The sequence below is a fragment of the Homo sapiens genome, chromosome 20 (genome assembly GCF_000001405.40).
Source record: "Homo sapiens chromosome 20, GRCh38.p14 Primary Assembly".
NCBI lineage: Eukaryota > Metazoa > Chordata > Mammalia > Primates > Hominidae > Homo > Homo sapiens.
This window is the reverse complement of record NC_000020.11, coordinates 34228732-34245665: the sequence shown is the minus strand read 5'-3', so window position 1 is coordinate 34245665 and position 16934 is coordinate 34228732. Positions and strand designations below refer to the sequence as shown.

General features: G+C 46.0%; 2 protein-coding genes across 5 annotated transcripts in view, besides 4 other annotated features; one reads left to right on the top strand and one right to left on the bottom strand.

Moving 5' to 3' along the window:
- The window catches only part of AHCY (adenosylhomocysteinase), a 79856-nt gene extending 66171 nt beyond the window's left edge, over positions 1 to 13685 (top strand). The window contains exon 11 of the mRNA XM_047439962.1: positions 10636 to 13685. The gene's annotated coding sequence lies outside the window, so the exon portion shown is untranslated. The remainder of the gene's footprint in view (positions 1 to 10635) is intronic.
- ASIP (agouti signaling protein) overlaps positions 1 to 16934 on the bottom strand; it is an 82852-nt gene that overhangs the window by 23679 nt on the left and 42239 nt on the right. Inside the window, exon 1 of one of the 4 annotated variants that reach the window (NM_001672.3) lies at positions 4177 to 4243. The exons of the other annotated variants lie outside the window; for them this stretch is intronic. The gene's annotated coding sequence lies outside the window, so the exon portion shown is untranslated. Of the gene's footprint in view, positions 1 to 4176; positions 4244 to 16934 lie in introns of those variants that run through there. 4 annotated transcript variants of the gene reach the window in all.
- Positions 2650 to 3151: an enhancer, noted in NCBI's record as "NANOG hESC enhancer chr20:32830321-32830822 (GRCh37/hg19 assembly coordinates)". NCBI's record gives its function as "activates a minimal SCP1, AML or CMV promoter by ChIP-STARR-seq in primed H9 embryonic stem cells {active_cell/tissue: H9 hESC(primed)}" and the evidence as "EXISTENCE:reporter gene assay evidence [ECO:0000049][PMID:30033119]".
- Positions 4205 to 4354: an enhancer, noted in NCBI's record as "active region_17757". NCBI's record gives its function as "activates an Ori minimal core promoter by ATAC-STARR-seq in GM12878 lymphoblastoid cells {active_cell/tissue: GM12878}" and the evidence as "EXISTENCE:reporter gene assay evidence [ECO:0000049][PMID:35858748]".
- Positions 4375 to 4444: an enhancer, noted in NCBI's record as "active region_17756". NCBI's record gives its function as "activates an Ori minimal core promoter by ATAC-STARR-seq in GM12878 lymphoblastoid cells {active_cell/tissue: GM12878}" and the evidence as "EXISTENCE:reporter gene assay evidence [ECO:0000049][PMID:35858748]".
- Positions 13339 to 13840: an enhancer, noted in NCBI's record as "NANOG hESC enhancer chr20:32819632-32820133 (GRCh37/hg19 assembly coordinates)". NCBI's record gives its function as "activates a minimal SCP1, AML or CMV promoter by ChIP-STARR-seq in naive H9 embryonic stem cells {active_cell/tissue: H9 hESC(naive)}" and the evidence as "EXISTENCE:reporter gene assay evidence [ECO:0000049][PMID:30033119]".

The window sequence follows — 16934 nt, the reverse complement described above, 5'->3', positions numbered from 1 at the left end:
TGTAATCCCAGCACTTTGGGAGGCCAAGGCGGGTGGATCATGAGGTCAGGAGTTCGAGACCAGCCTGGCCAATATGGTGAAACCCCGTCTCTACCAAAAAAAATACAAAATTTAGCCAGGCATGGTGGCGCACACCTGTAGTCCCAGCTACTCAGGAGGCTGAGGCCTGAGAATCGCTGGAACCTGGGAGGCGGAGGTTGCAGTGAGCCGAGATCTGCCATTGCACTCCAACCTGGGTGACAGAGTGAGACTCTGTCTAAAAAAATAAAATAAAATTTGGTCATTTGGTACTGACTTTCTCTTTGTCTCTCTCTCTTTTTTTTTTTTTTTTTGAGACAGAGTCTCACACTGTCGCCCAGGCTCGAGTGCAATGGCATGATCTCAGCTCACTGCCACCTCCGCCTCCCAGGTTCAAGCGATTCTCCTGCCTCAGTCTCCTGAGTAGCTGGGATTACAGGCGCCTGCCACCACGCCCAGCTAATTTTTGTATTTTTAGTAGCGACGGGGTTTCATCATGTTTGCCAGGCTGGTCTCGAACTCCTGACCTCGTGATTTGCCCACCTTGGCCTCCCAAAGTGCTGGGATTACAGGCATGAGCCACTGTGCCCGGCCTGACTCTCTCTTTGTCTTTTTATTTTTTGAAAAACCCGGTAGACTTTTTATGTGGAGCATTTTTGTTGATTATTTTACTGATCTAAAGCTGAGTGATTTTTAAAAATAATTTGAATTTGGCTTCCTAACCAGTAATACGTCTCCTTGCTTCATTGATGTGACAGTTTTGAGATGGGTGTGAATCTAATAAATTTGTGGTTCAATTTGCTTTGTTGTTACAAAGTCCACCCTACGGGCACAATAACATACTGTTGGTAGGAGTTGTTCGAGCTATTCTGGAGATTATTTGATAAAGTATGCTAAAAGCCTTAAAACCATGAATGTGCGCTGTTTGAAACAGTAAGCCACTTCTTTGACATTAGAAGACATTAGAAGAAATAACCAGCCTTGCGTAAAACTTATGGATGAAAGTATTCATCACAATATTATTTATAATGAAAAATTGCAAATGTTACAAATGAACAATTGGAAAATGATTAAACAAGTGATGGCACATTGTGTGGTAGAATATTACGCATATGTTTAAAGAATCATATTTTCTAAGATTACTTGGAAACATTTTGGTAATGTCAAAGGCGGGCACCTCAGACACATTTTAGACATTAATCATCATCATTGTTCTGAGTGGAAGGCCATTCAGAGAGGCTAGAGGTTCTTATTCTGGCTATAAATTATGTGAGTAAAATTCTGCTAACCAATGAAAAATACTGTACACCCATGCTCAAGATGTAGTCCTGGAAATAGCAAGTGAAACATGTCTTCTCACAAGAGAAGTTTTAATGACAAGAGAAGTAAAAATGACAGTTTTAATGATGCATTAGATGAATTTAAACTTTAAATCAGATGCTGCAAATTGGAAGGAAGACTTGCGGTGTTTGTTCTAAATTGCTGCGGACACTTCTAAGAAACTTAGAGCCCACAAAACCATGGTTTATTGTCATGCAAATTACGATCTTGAATGAGAGTTTTTTTGTTTGTTTGTTTGTTTTGAGATGGAGTCTCACTCTGTCGCCCAGGCTGGAGTGCAGTGGCGCAATCTCGGCTCACTGCAAGCTCCGCTTCCCGGGTTCACGCCATTCTCCTGCCTCAGCCTCCTGAGTAGCTGGGACTACAGGCGCCCGCCACCACGCCCGGTTAATTTTTTTGTATTTTTAGTAGAGACGGGGTTTCATCGTGTTAGCCAGGATGGTCTCGATCTCCTGACTTCATGATCCACCCGCCTCGGCCTCCCAAAGTGCTGGGATTACAGGCGTGAGCCACCGCGCCCGGCGAGACAGTTTTTTTTTTTTTTTTTTAAATACAATATTAGAAAAATGTAAAGTATTAGAAAGATGTAAAATTTAAAAATGAAATTCTGCATTAACTGTGAATTCTACTAAATAGAATTACTGGTGGAGCAAATTTATCCATCGAGACTATCTGGTATGTGTTACATATGTATTCTGTTGGTGCTGGCAGATGTCTGTGTGCCTGTATCAACATGTGCTCCACAGTTCTTAGCAAATGCAGTTTCAATCCATAGCTAGCCAGCAGTGGATGTTACCACAGGAAAATGCAGGATTAAAATTGTCCTTGTGTAAAAAAAAATTCAGAATAATTTTTTCTTAACAACACTAAAATTATTTGATCTCTTGGGCTGTATCTACATACACGTACCGATTTCACTATTGTGACTGAATTGGCTAGTCTAATTGTTATGCCTAACAGATGCCAAATTGAATAATATTTTAATGGGTGGTTTGAATCTTCTGTAGACAACCTGCTTCAGAACTCTTCTTTGAGACCAAGAACCATATGGCAGGCCCAGACTGCCTGAGGGGTCCTGAGTTAGAACTTGAGAGAAGACTTGAGGCTGTGTCCCTTCTCAAGGGACAAAAGGACAAGACTCCTTCAGGCAGCTGTTTGTCAGTGTGAAATCTGTCTCCCTGTTCCACTGAAACAGGGGTCAGAGTCTAGGCTTCCCAGATGTTCATTCCCACAGTGTACAAGGAATACAATGCTGATAGGCGATGCTAAATGATTGTTTTAGATCTCCTGACATCATTCCCTTTAGGCTGTTTTATCTATCATTACTCAACAAAGACCTTAGTGGGTACTATATTGGTTTTGTTTATGCTCTCCAGAAATCACTTCTCTGCCTTTTCTCCTTCTCAGTAATCATGTCTTTTGATTTCTGAATTCCTTTACCTGGGGTGCATTCTGCACAAGCACTCATTAAGCATAGCTGAAGCTGAGCTGACAGTCTGTGACAGCTCTCAACAACTTTACAGCAGAAGGAGGGAAGAGGCTTTGATGTGAGATGAAATTTTCTGCAGAAGAGGATTAAGTCAGAACCAAGGAGATATAGCTGAGCAAATCTTAAGAATATGTATGCATTAGTTCTATTTGGAGAAAGTAGAAAAGGTTTTGAGACAGACATTTATGAAAGTGTTTTTCATTTTGTTTTGTTTTGTTGTTTGTTTGTTTTTTGAGTGGGTCCCAGTAAGGCATCCAAAATAACCAAAGAAAACCCAAAATGACTGGCTGGGTGCTGTGGCTCACGCCTGTAATCCCAGCACTTTGGGAGGCTGAGGTGGGCAGATCACCTGAGGCCAGGAGTTTGAGACTAGCCTGGCCAACATAGTGGAACCCTGTCTCTACTAAAAATACAAAAATTAGCCAGGCGTGGTGGTGTGTGCCTGTTGTCCCAGCTACTCAGGAGCCTGAGGTGGGAGAATCGTTTGAACTCAGGAGGCAGAGGTTGCAGTGAGCCAAGATCATGCCATTGCACTCCAGCCTGGGTGACAGTGAGACTCCGTCTCAAAAATAAATAAGTAAATAAATAAAATAAAATAAAAATAATAAAATAAAATAAAATAAAAATTTTAAAAAGGAAACCAAAAATGACTTCACTATGCCATCCCATTTAGCCTCTTTAATCTCCTCCAATGGAAACAGCAGAACAAAATGTTCCATATCACTGAAGCAGAGCGAACTCACCTACAATTGAAAACATTAACCTGAGCTTCCTTTAATGGGCATTAAAATGTGTGAATATGGATATCCATTCAGAAAAGTCAAACATTTACAAAGGAAAAGGAGAGTCTGCAATAAATGGAATTTTGGTCATCTGTTTCATCTCTAATAAATATGAAATGAACAAATGCTACACGTGCAGACTGATCCCTAAATCCTAAATTCTGCTCTGTAAGAGTTATTAGAAATCTGAAACCACAAGCAACTTTCTGAAGACATTTAAAGAAGCATTAAAGTGTGACTTTGGGGTCAGGGTCGATATTTAGGAGTACTTCTTTCTTAGATATACATATAGATATATTTATTTATTCGTTTACTGCTAGGCAATGGAAAAGGCACAGAGTAAAGAGAAAGAAGCCACTAGTTAGCAAAAGATCAACTGCTTTCTTCACACTGAACTCCTCTTAACTACTCTGACCCACAAAAGTGAATCAAAAAAATCTGTTTAACTTTCCAAGAAAGGAGGGATAACTGTTAAGTCCTTTCAACTTTCCAAAGTAGCAGCAGCTTCACTCCTGAAAGCAGATTAAAGTTGCCATCTAAACTCACATGCTTTCCCGCAAAGAGCCCAGGCCAAGGAACTTCCTTTTTCACCTTGCAGCTGTAGAGATTTGCTGCTTGCTCATCTATAACTTCAAAGACAAGAACAAGAAAACAACCAATCATACTACAAAATTATTTCAAACTTCACCACATCTCACAGGCAGGAAGGTTCTTTCAGATCCACAGTGAAAATAGGAAATGTTTCATCAGCTGAAAGGCAGCTGCAAGCAGATCAAGAGAGGTTTTACAAAAGAAGCAAAAGGTAAAGGGTTATCCTTTATTTTACAAAGGAGCTCTCTAGCAACCCAGTTCATATAAAAGTTAAACTTAGAGAAGAAAATAGAATCTCTATAGGCGGCAGAAGAAAAGAAAATTGTTTCCTCCTATTTACGGTGCAAGTGACTGTGCCTCTATTAGCCCCTCTAAGGGTCGCCAAAGCAGAGCGTCTTTCCTGTCCGTGGATAGCAGAGGCAAGGCGTGTTGCTCTGAGATTTTTTAAAGATCCCAGGATCTCCCAGAGCTGGCTTCCCCACCTCATCTCTTTGCTTTCAGCCAAGCAAACGTCATGCCTTCATACTCATTCTGGTTGCCAGAAGTCTTGTGGTCTGTTCTTCCCATATTTCTCCCAATTCTTTAGAATTGGAATTGATGTTGACATTGAGGTTACAAGGGATTGGAAGGGAAGTGGTTGCATCAAGGATACTCCAAGGGCAGAGTTTAATGAAAATTTAATTCAGAATGGATCCCAAGAGACGGAATAAAACAGTCTAATTGAGTTAACCTAGAAAAACAAGTCCTGCCAAAGAAGGGTCTAATTCAGCTTGTTTCAGAAATTCCGGGTGAGTTAAGGAGTAGTTGGTGGAGAAGCTAAACTCTTGATGGGCAGATTGCTGAGGCCCAGCCCACCTTATTAGTAAAATCTCTTTGGGACCTTTTTTTGCAGGAATATTGGTCTCATAATTTTCAGATTTCAGTCAAAGGGCTGTACTTACACAGACTCAAAAACTATGACGCTGCAGTTCTTTTCTTCTCCTTACTTAGTTGGTTTTCCTTGGATCAACTAGAATTTACAAGGTTATGTGAAAGCTGATCACACAAACTGGGTCATTCTTGTCATACCCAACTAAATCAGAGTCTAGGGACCAGGAGGGAAGAAGCACTTGGGGCACAGCACCTGCTCCATGAATTAAATTTTTCACAAGCCCAGCTGCTAAAATGGCCTGCTGTAACCCCAAGACTAGTTTAGTAGCTGCTGAAACATGACTTTAAGAATAGTTTTGCCTACCACCATCACTCACCAATCAGAGTTTGCCAGCTCCCAAATGCTTCTTTTTTCTCTTTTTTTCCCTTCTTTCCAAATGATTCTTTAGTGCCAATGAGCTTTCTTTCAAAACAGTATAGAACATTTCTCTAATAAAACTCCCAACCTTCTTTCTGTTCCTCAGACACACTGAAGACCACCTGGTTAGTGTGTATGCCTCAAACTGCAATCCTTGCTTCCAAAATAGAATGCTTTAAAGTTAGAGATTCATCGCTATGTTTTATTTTGACTTCAACAGTCACAATGTATTGCTTCCTGGATAATGTGGAGCTTAGAGGCTCTGCAGAAGAAAGTAGGTTAATATGGGGCCCTGCAATAAACATTGTCTGTTTTCGTGGTGATGGGTGCAGAAGAGTGGGATAGGGGATGGCACACCCCTACATTATCCTTATTTCTAGGAACCAATTTCTTTTGGTGATTTGTAGAGACAAGGGCAACTGGAAAGATAAGTGAATAGGGAGTCAGGAGATCTGGATTCCAGTTTAGGCTTTGTTACTTTCTCTCTGATCTTGGACAAGTCACATAAACTGTCTGAACACTGCTATCTCATCTACCAACCACACTGGGCTGAAAAGAGGATCCAATGAGATAATGTAGACGCCTTGAAAACTCTGAAGCATTCCACAAATGTGAATGTTTTCCAAATTTTAGTTCATTATATGACCCACCAAGTAAGGCTTTGGATAAAGAATTTGATTGGGAGGCCGAGGTGGGTGGATCACCTGAGGTCAGGAGTTCGAGAAGAGCCTGGCCAACATGGTGATACCCCGTCTCTACTAAAAATACAAAAAATAGCCAGGTGTGGTGGCAGGTGCCTGTAGTCCCAGCTACTTGGGAGGCTGAGGCAGGAGAATCGCTTGAACCTGGGAGGCAGAGGTTGCGGTGAGCCAAGATTGTGCCACTGCACTCCAGCCTGGGCCAGTCTCAAAAAAAAAAAAAGTATTTGAACATGGGGTTGGGAGGAGAAGAGGAACATACTGAGTCTGATGGATATTAGGTGGTGAGATGGGGGATGGGAGTGGAACTAAGTGGAAAAGAAAAAGCAGGGAAAGAAAGCAGAAAAGATATCAAGTTTCTAGAGAAAGACTTGGCCCAGGTGTCTTTGGGGGCTTAAATTATTCCCTTAGAAATAATTAGCCAGGAAAGTATTCTGGGAAGATGGCAGAGTAGGAAGCTCTAGGATTCTGTTTCCTTACCTAACCAAAACTTGTACTGGCAGAATCTGTAACTATTTTAAAGCCATGGAGTCTATTGAAGGCTTGCAACTTCTAGGTGAAGGCTTGGATGGCAAAGTGTCCTTGGCACAGAGATAGCCTATAACAATAAAAAAGAAACATCAACAATAACAAAAAACAGTAACAAAATAAAGTAAACCCTGAGGAAAGGGGAGAACCTGGTTTCTAGAGTTACCACATTATTAAACTAAAATGTCTAGTTTTCAACCAAAAAATCACAAGGCATACAAAGAAAAGAAAAAATATGGCACATTCAAAGGAAAAAAGTCAACAGAAGCTCTGAAAGTCCTCATGGCAGACCTACTAGACAAATATATTAAAACAATTGTCTTAGAGATGCTCAGAGAACTAAAGGAAGATGTGGAGAGTGAAAAAAACAAGTACAAGCAAAAGGGGAATATCAATAGAGATATGGAAAACCTAAAAAGAAACCAGAAAGTACAAGAACTTTTTGTAGTATTGATTAGTACAATAACCAAAATTTAAAAATGCACTAGAGGGATTCAAAGGCAGATTTGATTAGACAGAAGAGAGACTCAATGAACTTGAAGATAGAACCATGAAAATTACTGAGTCTGAGGAACATAAATAAGATTGGAGAAAAGTAAACACTGCCTAAGGGACATGTGGGACACCATCAAGCAGAAAAACATATGCATTCTCTCAGAAGTCTAGCCATCCCAGAAGGAGAAGAGAGAAAAAAACCCAGAATATTTGAAGAAACATTGATTAAGACTTCCAAAGTTTGATTAAAGATATGAATATAAACATCCAAGAAGCTCAATGAACTCCAAGTAAGATGAACTCAAAGAGATCCACACAAAGATACGGTATAATCAAACTTTTGAAAGCCAAAACCAAAGATAAAATCTTGGAAGCAGCAAGAGAGATGCGACTCATCACATACAATAAATCCTCAATAAAATCATTAGCAGATTTCTTATCAGAAACTTTGGAGGCCAGAGGCTGTGGGCTGACAAATTCAAAGTTCTGAAAGAAAAAAACTGTCAACCAAGAATCCTATATCAGATTATCTCAATTGATGCAGGAAAAGCATTTGACAAACTCTAACATAATTTCATGATAAAAAAAAACACTCCACAAACTAGGAATAGGAGGACTGCTTCAACATAATAAAAGCCATATATGAAAAACCCACAGCCAACATCATACACAATGATGAAAGAATGAAAGATTTTCCTCCAACATCAAGAACAAGACAAAGATGCCTGCTTTCACCACCTCTACTCAAAATAGTACTGGAAGTTCTACCTAGAACAATTAGGCAAGGAAAAGAAAGCAAAGCCATCCGCATTAAAAAGGAAGGAGTAAAATGATCTCTGTTCACAGATAATATGATCTTAAATGTAGAAAAGCCTAAAGATTCCACAAAACACTGTTAGAACTAATAAATCAGTTTAGCAAAGTAGCAGGATACAAAGTTATATCAGTTACATTTCTATATATTAACAATGAACAATCTGAAAAGGAAATTAAGAAAATGATTCAATCTACAAAAGCATCAAAAGAATTAGGAATTAACATAGCCAAGGGGGTGAAAGATGTGTACAATGACAACTATAGAACATTGCTGAAAGAAATTAAATAAGACATAAATATAAGCAATCTACAGATTCAATACAATTCCTAACAAAATCTCTAGGAGGTTTTTTTTGGCAGAAATAGAAAAAAAACCCATTCTAAAATTTGTATGGAATCTCAAAGGACCCCAAATAGCCAAAATAATCTTGAAAAAGAATAAAGCTGGAGGACTCACACTTCTTGATTTCAAAACTTACTACAAAGCCACAGTAATCAAAACAGTGTGGTACTTGCATAAAGACAAATGTGTAGAAAAATGGAATAGAATAAATAAACCCATAATAGAATAAATAAAGGCCCAGAAATAAACCTTTACATGTGTGGTCAAGTGATTTTTGACAAAGGTGTCAAGGCCATTTAATGGGGGAAATAAGAGTTTTTTTCAACAAATGGTACTAGGAAAAGTGGATATCTACATGCAAAACAATGAAGTTAGACTCTTACCTAACACCATATACAAAAACTTACCCAAAATGAATCATAGACCTAAATGTATTAATAAGACCTGAAACTATAAAACTCAAGAAGATTTTCCCAGGCAAATACAATCACCTTATCTAGAGTTTCCCAAAATTCTTCAGCTGCCTTCGTATCAGCACTTGCATATTGCTCTCTCACATTCACATTATATAATGCATAATGATTTATTTTTAAGATGGGGGTCTCGCCATCTTGCCTAGGCTGGTTTCAAACTCCTGGGCTCAGGCAATTCTCCCACCCCAGACTCCCAAAGTGGTAGGATTACAGGCGTGAGCCACTGTGCCAGGCTGAATAATGATTCTTTTTTTTTTTGAGACAGAGTTTTCACTCTTGTTGCCCAGGCTGGAGTGCAGTGGTGCAATCTCAGCTCACTGCAACGTCCACCTCCTGGATTCAAGCGATTCTTCTGCCTCAACCTCCCAAGTAGCTGGGATTACAGACACGCACCACCATGCCTGGCTAATTTTTTTGTGTATTTTTAGTAGAGACAGGGTTTCACCATGTTGGCCAGGCTGGTCTCAAACTCCTGACCTCAGGTGATCTGCCCGCTTCGGCCTCCCAAAGTGCTGGGATTATAGGCGTGAGCCACTGCGCCCAGCCATGGCCATGATTCTTGAATCATTTAAACCACCTAGAGCTAGCAGTAAATTCAATATCATAGTCAGGTTTAGCCTTTTCTTTCTTTCTTTCTTTTCCCTCCCTCCCTCCTTTCTCCTTTCCTCTCCTTTCCTTTCCACTCCTTTCCTTTCCTTTCTTTCTCCTTCCTTCCTTCCTTCTCTTTCTCTTTCTTTCTCTCTCTCCTTCCTTCCTTTTCTGTTTCTTTCTCTTTCTTCTTCTCTCTCTCTTTCTCTCTTTCTCCTTCCTTCCTTCTTTCCTTCTTCCCTCCCTCCCTCCTTCCTTCCTTCCTTCCTTCTTCCCTCCCTCCCGCTTCCTTCCTTCCTTCCTTCCTTCCTTCCTTTCCTTCCTTCCTTCCTTCCTTCCTTCCTTCCTTTCCTTCCTTCCTTCCTTCCTTCCTTCTTTCTTTCTTTCTTTCTTTCTTTCTTTCTTTCTTTCTTTCTTTCTTTCTTTCTTCTTTCTCAGAGTCTCACTCTGTCACACAGGCTGGAGTGCAGTGGCATTATCATGAGCCCACTTCAGCCACGACTTCCTGGGCTCTAGCAATCCTCCCACCCCTGCCTCCTGAGTAGTAGGGGCCACAGGCATGCGCTACCATGCCCAGCCAGACTTTTCTTTCAACATCACAAACAAACTTTTTGTTTTGGCCATGATTGTTATCGTGCTAAGAAAGATATACTTCTGTTGCCTGGTCTTCAATCTAGGTCATTAGAAGTTTCTCCATATCCCATATAGAACCTTCGTGAACTTTTGTTAGTCTCATTGCCTTCAGTGAAGCAGATTCTTCTTTTTTCTTTGTTTTTGAGATGGAGTCTCACTGTGTCACCCAGGCTGGAGTGCAATGGCATGATCTCGGCTCACTGCAACCTCCGCCTCCCCGCTTCAAGCGATTGTCCTGCCTCAGCCTCCCAAGTAGCTGGGATTACAGGTGCCTGCCACCTCGCCTGGCTAATTTTTGTATTTTTAGTAGAGACGGGGTTTCACAATGTTGATCAGGCTGGTCTCAAACTCCTGACTTCATGATCTGCCCACCTCGGCCTCTCAAAGTGCTGGGATTACAGGCGTGAGCCACTGCGCCCGGCTGAAGCAGATTATTTAACAGCTTCGGTCACTTTGCTCTTGCTCTTCAAGATGGTAGCTATGGTGGAATGGGATATGCCTGACTGGTGAGCAATAATCATCACTGACTTTTACTTTAAATTTCATTTCCAGGTCAATCACTTGATGTGGCCTCTTACTGGCAACATTAGCCATGGATTTTGTACCCTTAGGAGCTATGATGAAAAAAACAACACAAGATTAAATCAAATGCGAGAGAAAATAATGTGCAAACAAGAGATGCGGTAAACATGAAATATATGAGGATACTGTGGGTATAACATGACATACTGTTTTACAGTAAACTGTTTGTTGTTGTTTTTGTTGTTGTTTTTCTGAGTCTCGCTCTGTCACCCAGGCTGGAGTACAGTGGCGCAATCTCGGCTCACTGCAACCTCTGCCTCCTGGGTTCAAATGATTCTCCTGGCTCAGCCTCAGCCTCAGCCTCCCGAGTAGCTGGGATTATAGGCGCCTGCCACCACGCCCGGCGAATTTTTGTATTTTTAGTAGAGATGGGGTTTCGCCATGTTGGTCAGGCTGGTTTATAGGACCACTGTCATATATGCAGTCCGTCATATACACTTGGGCAACAGAGTGAGGAAGAAAGAAAGGAAAGAAAGGAAGGAAGGAAGGAAGGAAGGAGAAAAGAAAAGAAAAGAGAAAAGGAAAAAGAAAGAAAGAAAGCTGATAGCGCCCACTGGATGCCTGGCCTCAACCACAACTCTGGAAGACCTACTGCATTAAGGGTCAATTAGCACAATGGTCTAAAACAAAAGCTATCACCTTTCCCTTAGGACTGACTAGTTATGCTATATTTTTACTGATTCTTAGGCACTAGTGGTCTTGTCTGCTACTTAGAAGATTACAGACTGGCAGATTAAAGGCACTTCACTTTGGGTCATGAGCCCTGGAAACAAATTGTAGCCACCAAACAGTCTGGATCACTGTTGTGGTGTGCATGGTAAGGGCTCATTCTCTGATGAGACCAACTAGAATCAAGCTTTTGATCAAGCTTGTGCCACTCAGATGGCCACAGTTGCCACTTAGATCCATCATAACATTGGACATGGTGACACCATCATCAACTGGGCACAAAGTAAGGGACTCTGTGTTTCTGAATCAGAAGCTACCACTACATGCCAGATTTGTGACCTCTGCCAAAAGTTAGCCTATTTGTCTCATGGTGAAAGAGGCCATATTGCACTGAGTGTTGACTGGCTGCAGAGTGTTGACTGGCTCCTGGTAAATTGGTGACATCAGACCTTTGACCTCTTCCAAGCTATTCCACTGGTATCTCATTCCTGTTGACTTTTTCTCAGGTAATGGTTTTGCTGTTCTAGTCTGATCAGCCAATTGTGGCCACATCATTGTGGCCCTTGAAACTAATCTGTGTCATGATTTTGGCTTTCTGGATGGTGATAATACTGCATTTTTTAGTGCAAAAACTCATCAACAATGGGCTTATAGTCAAAGTATTTGGTAGCCAATTCATTATCTTCAGACTGGTGGTACCATTGAGAGATGGAATAAACTTTTAATTAAAAAACAGCTTAATTGAGATGTAATTCACATATCATAAAATTCACCCTTTGGAAGGTTTTTAGTTTATTCACAGAGTTGTGCAACCATCCTACAGTATGTAGTCTTTGTGGCTGGCTTCCTTCACTTAGCAAAATGTTTTCAAAGTTTATCCATGTGGGCCGGGCGCGGTGGCTCACACCTGTAATCCCAGCACTGTGGGAGGCCGAGGTGGGCAGATCATGAGGTCAGGAGATCAAGACCATCCTGGCTAACATAGTGAAACCCCATCTCTACTAAAAATACAAAAAATTAGCCGGGCATGGTGGTGGGTGCCTGTAGTCCCAGCTACTTGGGAGGCTGAGGCAGGAGAATGGGGTGAACCCAGGAGGCAGAGCTTTCAGTGAGCTGAGATCACACCATTGTACTCCAGCCTGGGCAACAGAGCGAGACTCTGTATCAAAAAAAAAAAAAAAAAAAAAAGCTCTTGTCCCATTCACAGTTGACTCTTCCAGATGAAAAATGTTGGTGTGAGTGGGGAAGAATTGGAGAAAAGGTGAAGTTACAGCTACTGGGTTGGGACACACTGATTTTGTAGCTGTGGAAGGAGAACAACGATCCCAGTACCTGGAGGGAGAACACGTTAAACTCCAGGAAGTGTGGAGAGGTAGGGAACAGTTAATGTTCTCTATGTCCCTTAGATCCAGCACTGCAACCTGGCAAATAGTTACATGGTTTGTTTGAGGCACACTGTCATCAGGCTGCCAATCTCATCTGCTGCTGGGTTTGTCAAACCAGTCCATGTGCTATTAAAACAGAGAAACTCATGTGGACATGGCCTGACACTATGCCTTCTGTGCCTGGTGCTGTCAAAGGTGGACATACATCTACATACATGTACAAACACAGACTGGCACAACTATGTTTTAAGCTGACTCATACAAAATCATGTGCTTCTCCTGATGCCTGAGTGGCCTTGGTTATGCTATGTATGGTGATTACGACTGGCCTTAAACTATATACTGGATGTCTCAAATAAGACCTACAGATCCTCCTGAGACTTATTCACAGGTGGTTGAATCTGGTACTCTGAGGTCAATACTGCAGGTTTGTCTCATCTTGCTGCTTGGGGATTTATTGACAGTGGTCTATGCTGTATGAGATAAATTGGACGGATTTGGTTCCAACCTCTACTAATCAGATTAATCAAAGTGGCCTACAGAATGGCATGCTCAAGTGAAAATCTCTCAAGAAGTCAAGATGATGTAGAACTGACGGTGGATGCTGTTGAGAGACATTCTGCCATGAGTCTCTTATGCTCCTCCTCATCTTATAGAGTATACCAAGAATGTAAGGTATTGACTGCTCTTTAGCCAGGCCATTTCTCAGGATTGTCTTTGCAGCAAGCAACTTTGAGCTGTGAAGTAATATCTCCCTGGGTTAAAAAGCAAGCTCACTTACTGCTTTCTATAAAATGTGGGTTCCCCAAACTCAGTGCTATTGTCATGTAACACATTTACCACATGTGTAGACCTTCATCTGGGCCTTTGTGTTGTCCCTGTTGGACTCAGGGAGCAAGAGCTGATGCAAAAGTTAATGCTCATGCTGCTTGCTGTGTGATGAATAATAAAGTTCATTGTCTCTGACCTGAGTCTCATATCTTCTGTTAGAATTCATGAAACAACAAGCTAACTTACTGGCTTATAAGTAGGGTAAAGTCAAATCCTACCCCTGACATATATGAGAGTTCCATTACTCAATGTCCTTGCCAACACTTGTTATGGTCAGTCTTTTTAATTTGAGAAATTCTAATAGGTACATAGTAGTATCTCATTGCAGTGATAATTTGTATTTCCCTAATGAGCTTATTTCCATCTGTATGAGCTTATTTCAATTTGCATATTTTTTGGTAGAGTATCTGTTCAAATCTTTTGTTCATTTAAAAAACTGGGTAGTGTTTCTTATTTTTAAAACTATATTCTGGATACAAGTTCTTTGTCAGATAAGTTATTTGTATATATTTCTCCCAGTCAGAGGATTGAATTTTCATTGTTCTTAACAGTGTCCTTTGATAGAAGTTATTAATTTCGACAAAGCCCAATTTAATGTTTCTGTTATTGATTGTGCTTTTCTTGTCATATTTAAGAAATCTTTGCTTAACTCAAAGTCACAAAAGATTTCTTCTATGTTTTCTTTTGAAAGTTCTAGCTCAGTCTTTGCCGCCGCGCCGGCGAGCGCCGCCCGGGAGGCAGCGGCTGGAGGAGCGGACGGGCCCCGCGGGGCCCGAGGGCAAGGAGCAGCCGCCTGCCTTGGCCTCCCAAAGTGCCGAGATTGCAGCCTCTGCCCGGCCGCCACCCCGTCTGGGAAGTGAGGAGTGTCTCTGCCTGGCCGCCCATCGTCTGGGATGTGAGGAGCCCCTCTGCCTGGCTGCCCAGTCTGGAAAGTGAGGAGCGTCTCCGCCCGGCCGCCATCCCATCTAGGCAGTGAGGAGCGCCTCTTCCCAGCCGCCATCACATCTAGGAAGTGAGGAGCGTCTCTGCCCGGCCGCCCATCGTCTGAGATGTGGGGAGCGCCTCTGCCCCGCCGCCCCATCTGGGATGTGAGGAGCGCCTCTGCCCAGCCGCGACCCCGTCTGGAAGATGAGGAGCGCCTCTGCCCGGCCGAGACCCCGTCTGAGAAGTGAGGAGACCCTCTGCCTGGCAACCACCCCGTCTGAGAAGTGAGGAGCCCCTCCGCCCGGCAGCTGCCCCGTCTGAGAAGTGAGGAGCCTCTCCGCCCGGCAGCCACCCCATCTGGGAAGTGAGGAGCGTCTCCGCCCGGCAGCCACCCCGTCCGGGAGGGAGGTGCGGGGGGGTCAGCCCCGGCCAGGCCAGCCGCCCCATCCGGGAGGGAGGTGGGGGGGTCAGCCCCCCGCCCGGCCAGCCGCCCCTTCCGGGAGGTGAGGGGTGCCTCTGCCCGGCCGCCCCTACTGGGAAGTGAGGAGCCCCTCAGCCCGGCCAGCCACCCCGTCCGGGAGGGAGATGGGGGGGTCAGCCCCCCCACCCGGCCAGCCGCCCCGTCCGGGAGGGAGGTGGGGGGGTCAGCCCTCCGCCTGGCCAGCCGCCCCGTCTGGGAGGTGAGGGGCGCCTCTGCCTGGCCACCCCTACTGGGAAGTGAGGAGCCCCTCTGCCCGGCCAGCCGCCCCGTCCGGGAGGGAGGTGGGGGGGTCAGCCCCCCGCCCGGCCAGCCGCCCCGTCCGGGAGGGAGGTGGGGGGGTCAGCCCTCCGCCCGGCCAGCCGCCCCGTCTGGGAGGTGAGGGGCGCCTCTGCCCGGCCGCCCCTACTGGGAAGTGAGGAGCCCCTCTGCCCGGCCAGCCGCCCCGTCCGGGAGGGAGGTTGGGGGGTCAGCCCCCCGCCCGGCCAGCCGCCCTGTCCGGGAGGGAGGTGGGGGGGTCAGCCCTCCGCCCGGCCAGCCGCCCCGTCTGGGAGGTGAGGGGCGCCTCTGCCCGGCCGCCCCTACTGGGAAGTGAGGAGCCCCTCTGCCCGGCCAGCCGCCCCGTCCGGGAGGGAGGTGTGGGGGTCAGCCCCCCGCCCGGCCAGCCGCCCCGTCTGGGAGGGAGGTGGGGGTGTCGGCCCCCCGCCCGGCCAGCCGCCCCGTCCGGGAGGGAGGTGGGGGTGTCGGCCCCCCGCCCGGCCAGCCGCCCCTTCCGGGAGGTGAGGGGTGCCTCTGCCCGGCCGCCCCTACTGGGAAGTGAGGAGCCCCTCAGCCCGGCCAGCCACCCCGTCCGGGAGGGAGATGGGGGGGTCAGCCCCCCACCCGGCCAGCCGCCCCGTCCGGGAGGGAGGTGGGGGGGTCAGCCCTCCGCCTGGCCAGCCGCCCCGTCTGGGAGGTGAGGGGCGCCTCTGCCCGGCCACCCCTACTGGGAAGTGAGGAGCCCCTCTGCCCGGCCAGCCGCCCCGTCCGGGAGGGAGGTGGGGGGGTCAGCCCCCCGCCCGGCCAGCCGCCCCGTCCGGGAGGGAGGTGGGGGGGTCAGCCCTCCGCCCGGCCAGCCGCCCCGTCTGGGAGGTGAGGGGCACCTCTGCCCGGCCGCCCCTACTGGGAAGTGAGGAGCCCCTCTGCCCGGCCAGCCGCCCCGTCCGGGAGGGAGGTTGGGGGGTCAGCCCCCCGCCCGGCCAGCCGCCCTGTCCGGGAGGGAGGTGGGGGGGTCAGCCCTCCGCCCGGCCAGCCGCCCCGTCTGGGAGGTGAGGGGCGCCTCTGCCCGGCCGCCCCTACTGGGAAGTGAGGAGCCCCTCTGCCCGGCCAGCCGCCCCGTCCGGGAGGGAGGTGTGGGGGTCAGCCCCCCGCCCGGCCAGCCGCCCCGTCCGGGAGGGAGGTGGGGGTGTCGGCCCCCCGCCCGGCCAGCCGCCCCGTCCGGGAGGGAGGTGGGGGTGTCGGCCCCCCGCCCGGCCAGCCGCCCCGTCCGGGAGGTGAGGGGCGCCTCTGCCCGGCCGCCCCTACTGGGAAGTGAGGAGCCCCTCTGCCCAGCCACCACCCCGTCTGGGAGGTGTGCCCAACAGCTCATTGAGAACGGGCCAGGATGACAATGGCGGCTTTGTGGAATAGAAAGGCGGGAAAGGTGGGGAAAAGATTGAGAAATCGGATGGTTGCCGTGTCTGTGTAGAAAGAAGTAGACATGGGAGACTTTTCATTTTGTTCTGCACTAAGAAAAATTCCTCTGCCTTGGGATCCTGTTGATCTGTGACCTTACCCCCAACCCTGTGCTCTCTGAAACATGTGCTGTGTCCACTCAGGGTTAAATGGATTAAGGGCGGTGCAAGATGTGCTTTGTTAAACAGATGCTTGAAGGCAGCATGCTCGTTAAGAGTCATCACCACTCCCTAATCTCAAGTAATCAGGGACACAAACACTGCGGAAGG